The 9,056-nt window shown below is 38.6% G+C and overlaps 2 annotated features.

Annotated features, from left to right (window-relative positions):
- Nucleotides 182-788: an enhancer, noted in NCBI's record as "OCT4-NANOG hESC enhancer chr19:24630995-24631601 (GRCh37/hg19 assembly coordinates)". NCBI's record gives its function as "activates a minimal SCP1, AML or CMV promoter by ChIP-STARR-seq in primed H9 embryonic stem cells {active_cell/tissue: H9 hESC(primed)}" and the evidence as "EXISTENCE:reporter gene assay evidence [ECO:0000049][PMID:30033119]".
- Nucleotides 5,340-6,325: an enhancer, noted in NCBI's record as "OCT4-NANOG hESC enhancer chr19:24625458-24626443 (GRCh37/hg19 assembly coordinates)". NCBI's record gives its function as "activates a minimal SCP1, AML or CMV promoter by ChIP-STARR-seq in primed H9 embryonic stem cells {active_cell/tissue: H9 hESC(primed)}" and the evidence as "EXISTENCE:reporter gene assay evidence [ECO:0000049][PMID:30033119]".

Raw genomic sequence — 9,056 nt, 5'->3', positions numbered from 1 at the left:
GAATTCACACATCACAAAGAAGTTTCTGAGAATGCTTCTACCTAGTTTTTATGTGAAGATAGTACTGTTTCCTATGAAGGCCTCAAAGTGGTCCAAATATCCACTTGCAGATTCTACAAAAAGAGGTTTTCCAAACTGCTCTATGAAGAGGTAGGTTCAACTCTGTGAGTTGAATGCAAACATCACAAAGTAGTTTCTGGGATTGCTTCGGTCTAGTTTTTAGGTGAAGATATTTCCATTTGCACAATAGCCCTCAAAGCGCTCCAAATATCCACTGGCGGATTCTACAAAAAGAGTGTTTCAGAACTGCTCTGTCAAAAGAAATGTTCAACTGTGTTAGTTGAATGCCCACATCACAAAGAAGATTCTGAGAATAATTCTGTCTAGTTTTTATTCGAAGATATTCCCGTTTCCACCTAAGGACTCAAAGCGCCCCTAATATCCACTTGCAGATCTTACAAAAACACGTTTCAAAACTGCTCTCTCAAAGGAACGGTTCATCTCTCTGGGTTCAATGCACACATCACAAAGAAGTTTCTGAGAATGCTTCTGGCTAGTTTTTATGTGAGGATATTCCCATTTCCAACAAAGGCTTCAAAGCGCTCCAAATATTCACCTGCAATTGTACAAAAGAGTGTTTCAAAACTCTTCTATCAAAAGGAAGGTTCAACTCTGTGAGTTGAATGCACACTTCACATAGATGTTTCTGAGAATGCTTCTTTCTAGTTTTTATGTGAAGATATTTCCTTCTCCACCATAGCCCTCAATGCGCTCCAAATGTCCACTGGCAGATTCCACGGAAACAGGGTTTCAAAACTGCTCTAACAAAAGAAAAGTTCAACTCCGTGATTTGGATGCACACATCACACAGCAGTTTCTGTGAATCCTTCTGTCTAGATTTTATATGAGGATCTTTCCTTTTCTACCATGGGCATCAAAGCCTTCCACATATCCAATGGTAGATTGTACAAAAGAGTGTTTCAAAACTGCTTTATGAAAAGGAAGGTTCAACTTTGGGAGCAGAATGCACACATCACGAAGAAGTTTCCAAGAATGCTTCTGTCTAGTTTATATGTGAAGATATTCCCATTTCCAGCAAAGGTCTCAAAGCGGTCCAAATATCCACTTGCGGATTCCCCAAAAAGAGTGTTTCAAAACTGCTCTATGGAAAGGTATGTTCAACTCTGTGAGTTTAATGCAAACATCACAAAGAAGTTTCTGAGGATGCTTCTGTCTAGTTTAATGGGAATATATTTTCTTTTCCACCATAGCCCTCAAATAGCTCCAAATATCCACTTTCAGATTCTACAGATTGTTTCAAAACTGCTCTATCAAAAAAAAGTTTCAACTCTGTGAGTTGAATGCACATATCTCTAAGTAGTTTCTGAGAATGCTTTTGTCTGTTTTTCATAGGAAGATATTTCCTTTTTGACCATAGGCCTCAAATCGCTCCAGATATCCACATGCAGATTCTACACAAAGAGTGTTTCAAAACTGCTCTATCAAAAGGAAGGTTCAACTCTGGTAGTTGAATGCAAACATCACAAAGAAGTTTCTCAGAATGCTTCTGTCTAGTTTTTAGAGCCAGATATTTCTTTTTCTGCCATAGGCCTCAAAGCGCTCCTGATATCCACATGCAGATTCTACACAAAGAGTGTTTCAAAACTGCTCTATCAAAAGGAAGGTTCAACTCTGGTAGTTGAATGCAAACATCACAAAGAAGTTTCTCAGAATGCTTCTGTCTAGTTTTTATATGCAGATATTTCTTTTTCTACCATAGGCCTCAAAGCGCTCCTGATATCCACTTGCAGACTCTACAGAAAGAGTGTTTCAAAACTGCTCTATCAAAAGGAAGGTTCAACTCTGTGAGCTGAATGGACAGATCACAAAGGAGTTTCTGAGAATGCTTATGTCTAGTTTTTATGTGAAGATATTCCCGTTTCCAAGGAAGGCTTCAAAGCACTCCAAATATCCACCTGCAGATTCTACAACAAGTGTCTTTCAACACTGCTCTATCAAAAGTGAGGTTCCACTCGGTGAGTTGAATGCACACATCACAAAGAAGTTTCTAAGAATCCTTCAGTCTAGTTTTTATGTGAAGATAATCCTGTTTCCAACGATAGCCTCAAAGCAGTCCCAGTATCCACTTGCAGATTCTACAAAAATAGTGTTTGAAAACTGGACTATATAAAGAGAAGTTCAACTTTCTGAGTTGAATGCAAACATCACAAAGGAGTTTTACAGAATACTTCTGTCTAGTTTTTATGTGAAGATATTTCCTTTTTCACCATAGCCCTTGACGTGCCCCAAAAGCCCACTGGTGCATTCTACAAAAAGAGTGTTGCAAAACTGCCCTATTAAAAGGAAGGATCAACTCTGTGAGTTGAATGCAAACATCACAAAGATGTTTCTGAGAATGCTTCTGTCCAGTTTTTATGTGAAGACATTCCCTTTCCACCAGAGGCCTCAAAGCGCTCCCAATATCCAATTGCTGATTCTACAAAAAACACTGTTTCAAAACCGCTCCATAAAAAAGATGGTTCAACTCTGTGAGTTGAATACACACATCACAAAGAAGTTTCAGAGAATGCTTCTGTCTAGTGTTTATGTGAAGATATTCCCGTTTCCAATGAAGGCCTCAAAGCAGTCCAAATATCCACTTGCAGATACTACAAAAATAGTGTTTCAAAACTGCTCTATGAAAAGGTATGTTCAACACTGTGAGATGAATGCAAACGTCACAAAGAAGTTGCTGAGAATGCTTCAGTCTAGTTTCTATGTGAAGATATTTCCTTTTCGACCACAGCCCTCAAAGCACTCCAAATGTCTACTTGCAGATTCGATAAAAGAGTTTTTCAAAACTGCTCTATCAAAAGAAAGGTTCAGCGCTGTGAGTTGAATCTACATATCACAAAAAAGTTTCTGAGAATGCCTCTATCTACTTTTTATGTGAAGATATTCCGGTTTCCAACGAAGGCCTCAAAGCGCTCCAAATATCTACTGGCAGATTCTACAAAAAGAGTGTTTCAAAACTGCTCTATTAAAGGAAGGTTCAACACTGTGAGTTGAATTCACACATCACAAAGAAGTTTCTGAGAATGCTTCTACCTAGTTTTTATGTGAAGATAGTACTGTTTCCTATGAAGGCCTCAAAGTGGTCCAAATATCCACTTGCAGATTCTACAAAAAGAGGTTTTCCAAACTGCTCTATGAAGAGGTAGGTTCAACTCTGTGAGTTGAATGCAAACATCACAAAGTAGTTTCTGGGATTGCTTCGGTCTAGTTTTTAGGTGAAGATATTTCCATTTGCACAATAGCCCTCAAAGCGCTCCAAATATCCACTGGCGGATTCTACAAAAAGAGTGTTTCAGAACTGCTCTGTCAAAAGAAATGTTCAACTGTGTTAGTTGAATGCCCACATCACAAAGAAGATTCTGAGAATAATTCTGTCTAGTTTTTATTCGAAGATATTCCCGTTTCCACCTAAGGACTCAAAGCGCCCCTAATATCCACTTGCAGATCTTACAAAAACACGTTTCAAAACTGCTCTCTCAAAGGAACGGTTCATCTCTCTGGGTTCAATGCACACATCACAAAGAAGTTTCTGAGAATGCTTCTGGCTAGTTTTTATGTGAGGATATTCCCATTTCCAACAAAGGCTTCAAAGCGCTCCAAATATTCACCTGCAATTGTACAAAAGAGTGTTTCAAAACTCTTCTATCAAAAGGAAGGTTCAACTCTGTGAGTTGAATGCACACTTCACATAGATGTTTCTGAGAATGCTTCTTTCTAGTTTTTATGTGAAGATATTTCCTTCTCCACCATAGCCCTCAATGCGCTCCAAATGTCCACTGGCAGATTCCACGGAAACAGGGTTTCAAAACTGCTCTAACAAAAGAAAAGTTCAACTCCGTGATTTGGATGCACACATCACACAGCAGTTTCTGTGAATCCTTCTGTCTAGATTTTATATGAGGATGTTTCCTTTTCTACCATGGGCATCAAATCCTTCCACATATCCAATGGTAGATTGTACAAAAGAGTGTTTCAAAACTGCTTTATGAAAAGGAAGGTTCAACTTTGGGAGCAGAATGCACACATCACGAAGAAGTTTCCGAGAATGCTTCTGTCTAGTTTATATGTGAAGATATTCCCATTTCCAGCAAAGGTCTCAAAGCGGTCCAAATATCCACTTGCGGATTCCCCAAAAAGAGTGTTTCAAAACTGCTCTATGGAAAGGTATGTTCAACTCTGTGAGTTTAATGCAAACATCACAAAGAAGTTTCTGAGGATGCTTCTGTCTAGTTTAATGGGAATATATTTTCTTTTCCACCATAGCCCTCAAATAGCTCCAAATATCCACTTTCAGATTCTACAGATTGTTTCAAAACTGCTCTATCAAAAAAAAGTTTCAACTCTGTGAGTTGAATGCACATATCTCTAAGTAGTTTCTGAGAATGCTTTTGTCTGTTTTTCATAGGAAGATATTTCCTTTTTGACCATAGGCCTCAAATCGCTCCAGATATCCACATGCAGATTCTACACAAAGAGTGTTTCAAAACTGCTCTATCAAAAGGAAGGTTCAACTCTGGTAGTTGAATGCAAACATCACAAAGAAGTTTCTCAGAATGCTTCTGTCTAGTTTTTAGAGCCAGATATTTCTTTTTCTGCCATAGGCCTCAAAGCGCTCCTGATATCCACATGCAGATTCTACACAAAGAGTGTTTCAAAACTGCTCTATCAAAAGGAAGGTTCAACTCTGGTAGTTGAATGCAAACATCACAAAGAAGTTTCTCAGAATGCTTCTGTCTAGTTTTTATATGCAGATATTTCTTTTTCTACCATAGGCCTCAAAGCGCTCCTGATATCCACTTGCAGACTCTACAGAAAGAGTGTTTCAAAACTGCTCTATCAAAAGGAAGGTTCAACTCTGTGAGCTGAATGGACAGATCACAAAGGAGTTTCTGAGAATGCTTATGTCTAGTTTTTATGTGAAGATATTCCCGTTTCCAAGGAAGGCTTCAAAGCACTCCAAATATCCACCTGCAGATTCTACAACAAGTGTCTTTCAACACTGCTCTATCAAAAGTGAGGTTCCACTCGGTGAGTTGAATGCACACATCACAAAGAAGTTTCTAAGAATCCTTCAGTCTAGTTTTTATGTGAAGATAATCCTGTTTCCAACGATAGCCTCAAAGCAGTCCCAGTATCCACTTGCAGATTCTACAAAAATAGTGTTTGAAAACTGGACTATATAAAGAGAAGTTCAACTTTCTGAGTTGAATGCAAACATCACAAAGGAGTTTTACAGAATACTTCTGTCTAGTTTTTATGTGAAGATATTTCCTTTTTCACCATAGCCCTTGACGTGCCCCAAAAGCCCACTGGTGCATTCTACAAAAAGAGTGTTGCAAAACTGCCCTATTAAAAGGAAGGATCAACTCTGTGAGTTGAATGCAAACATCACAAAGATGTTTCTGAGAATGCTTCTGTCCAGTTTTTATGTGAAGACATTCCCTTTCCACCAGAGGCCTCAAAGCGCTCCCAATATCCACTTGTTGATTCTACAAAAACACTGTTTCAAAACCGCTCCATAAAAAAGATGGTTCAACTCTGTGAGTTGAATACACACATCACAAAGAAGTTTCAGAGAATGCTTCTGTCTAGTGTTTATGTGAAGATATTCCCGTTTCCAATGAAGGCCTCAAAGCAGTCCAAATATCCACTTGCAGATACTACAAAAATAGTGTTTCAAAACTGCTCTATGAAAAGGTATGTTCAACACTGTGAGATGAATGCAAACGTCACAAAGAAGTTGCTGAGAATGCTTCAGTCTAGTTTCTATGTGAAGATATTTCCTTTTCGACCACAGCCCTCAAAGCACTCCAAATGTCTACTTGCAGATTCGATAAAAGAGTTTTTCAAAACTGCTCTATCAAAAGAAAGGTTCAGCGCTGTGAGTTGAATCTACATATCACAAAAAAGTTTCTGAGAATGCCTCTATCTACTTTTTATGTGAAGATATTCCGGTTTCCAACGAAGGCCTCAAAGCGCTCCAAATATCTACTGGCAGATTCTACAAAAAGAGTGTTTCAAAACTGCTCTATTAAAGGAAGGTTCAACTCTGTGAGTTGAATTCACACATCACAAAGAAGTTTCTGAGAATGCTTCTACCTAGTTTTTATGTGAAGATAGTACTGTTTCCTATGAAGGCCTCAAAGTGGTCCAAATATCCACTTGCAGATTCTACAAAAAGAGGTTTTCCAAACTGCTCTATGAAGAGGTAGGTTCAACTCTGTGAGTTGAATGCAAACATCACAAAGTAGTTTCTGGGATTGCTTCGGTCTAGTTTTTAGGTGAAGATATTTCCGTTTGCACAATAGCCCTCAAAGCGCTCCAAATATCCACTGGCGGATTCTACAAAAAGAGTGTTTCAGAACTGCTCTGTCAAAAGAAATGTTCAACTGTGTTAGTTGAATGCCCACATCACAAAGAAGATTCTGAGAATAATTCTGTCTAGTTTTTATTCGAAGATATTCCCGTTTCCACCTAAGGACTCAAAGCGCCCCTAATATCCACTTGCAGATCTTACAAAAACACGTTTCAAAACTGCTCTCTCAAAGGAACGGTTCATCTCTCTGGGTTCAATGCACACATCACAAAGAAGTTTCTGAGAATGCTTCTGGCTAGTTTTTATGTGAGGATATTCCCATTTCCAACAAAGGCTTCAAAGCGCTCCAAATATTCACCTGCAATTGTACAAAAGAGTGTTTCAAAACTCTTCTATCAAAAGGAAGGTTCAACTCTGTGAGTTGAATGCACACTTCACATAGATGTTTCTGAGAATGCTTCTTTCTAGTTTTTATGTGAAGATATTTCCTTCTCCACCATAGCCCTCAATGCGCTCCAAATGTCCACTGGCAGATTCCACGGAAACAGGGTTTCAAAACTGCTCTAACAAAAGAAAAGTTCAACTCCGTGATTTGGATGCACACATCACACAGCAGTTTCTGTGAATCCTTCTGTCTAGATTTTATATGAGGATGTTTCCTTTTCTACCATGGGCATCAAAGCCTTCCACATATCCAATGGTAGATTGTACAAAAGAGTGTTTCAAAACTGCTTTATGAAAAGGAAGGTTCAACTTTGGGAGCAGAATGCACACATCACGAAGAAGTTTCCGAGAATGCTTCTGTCTAGTTTATATGTGAAGATATTCCCATTTCCAGCAAAGGTCTCAAAGCAGTCCAAATATCCACTTGCGGATTCCCCAAAAAGAGTGTTTCAAAACTGCTCTATGGAAAGGTATGTTCAACTCTGTGAGTTTAATGCAAACATCATAAAGAAGTTTCTGAGGATGCTTCTGTCTAGTTTAATGGGAATATATTTTCTTTTCCACCATAGCCCTCAAATAGCTCCAAATATCCACTTTCAGATTCTACAGAGTGTTTCAAAACTGCTCTATCAAAAAAAAGTTTCAACTCTGTGAGTTGAATGCACATATCTCAAAGTAGTTTCTGAGAATGCTTTTGTCTGTTTTTCATAGGAAGATATTTCCTTTTTGACCATAGGCCTCAAATCGCTCCAGATATCCACATGCAGATTCTACACAAAGAGTGTTTCAAAACTGCTCTATCAAAAGGAAGGTTCAACTCTGGTAGTTGAATGCAAACATCACAAAGAAGTTTCTCAGAATGCTTCTGTCTAGTTTTTATATGCAGATATTTCTTTTTCTACCATAGGCCTCAAAGCGCTCCTGATATCCACTTGCAGACTCTACAGAAAGAGTGTTTCAAAACTGCTCTATCAAAAGGAAGGTTCAACTCTGTGAGCTGAATGGACAGATCACAAAGGAGTTTCTGAGAATGCTTATGTCTAGTTTTTATGTGAAGATATTCCCGTTTCCAAGGAAGGCTTCAAAGCACTCCAAATATCCACCTGCAGATTCTACAACAAGTGTCTTTCAACACTGCTCTATCAAAAGTGAGGTTCCACTCGGTGAGTTGAATGCACACATCACAAAGAAGTTTCTAAGAATCCTTCAGTCTAGTTTCTATGTGAAGATAATCCCGTTTCCAACGAAGGCCTCAAAGCAGTCCCAGTATCCACTTGCAGATTCTACAAAAATAGTGTTTGAAAACTGGACTATATAAAGAGAAGTTCAACTTTCTGAGTTGAATGCAAACATCACAAAGGAGTTTTACAGAATACTTCTGTCTAGTTTTTATGTGAAGATATTTCCTTTTTCACCATAGCCCTTGACGTGCTCCAAAAGCCCACTGGTGCATTCTACAAAAAGAGTGTTGCAAAACTGCCCTATTAAAAGGAAGGATCAACTCTGTGAGTTGAATGCAAACATCACAAAGATGTTTCTGAGAATGCTTCTGTCCAGTTTTTATGTGAAGACATTCCCTTTCCACCAGAGGCCTCAAAGCGCTCCCAATATCCACTTGCTGATTCTACAAAAACACTGTTTCAAAACCGCTCCATAAAAAAGATGGTTCAACTCTGTGAGTTGAATACACACATCACAAAGAAGTTTCAGAGAATGCTTCTGTCTAGTGTTTATGTGAAGATATTCCCGTTTCCAATGAAGGCCTCAAAGCAGTCCAAATATCCACTTGCAGATACTACAAAAATAGTGTTTCAAAACTGCTCTATGAAAAGGTATGTTCAACACTGTGAGATGAATGCAAACGTCACAAAGAAGTTGCTGAGAATGCTTCAGTCTAGTTTCTATGTGAAGATATTTCCTTTTCGACCACAGCCCTCAAAGCACTCCAAATGTCTACTTGCAGATTCGATAAAAGAGTTTTTCAAAACTGCTCTATCAAAAGAAAGGTTCAGCGCTGTGAGTTGAATCTACATATCACAAAAAAGTTTCTGAGAATGCCTCTATCTACTTTTTATGTGAAGATATTCCGGTTTCCAACGAAGGCCTCAAAGCGCTCCAAATATCTACTGGCAGATTCTACAAAAAGAGTGTTTCAAAACTGCTCTATTAAAGGAAGGTTCAACTCTGTGAGTTGAATTCACACATCACAAAGAAGTTTCTG

This window comes from Homo sapiens, chromosome 19, assembly GCF_000001405.40.
Source record: "Homo sapiens chromosome 19, GRCh38.p14 Primary Assembly".
Taxonomy (NCBI): Eukaryota; Metazoa; Chordata; class Mammalia; order Primates; family Hominidae; genus Homo; species Homo sapiens.
Note: the sequence above shows the minus strand (reverse complement) of the source record. Positions and strands in the feature narration are given on the sequence as shown.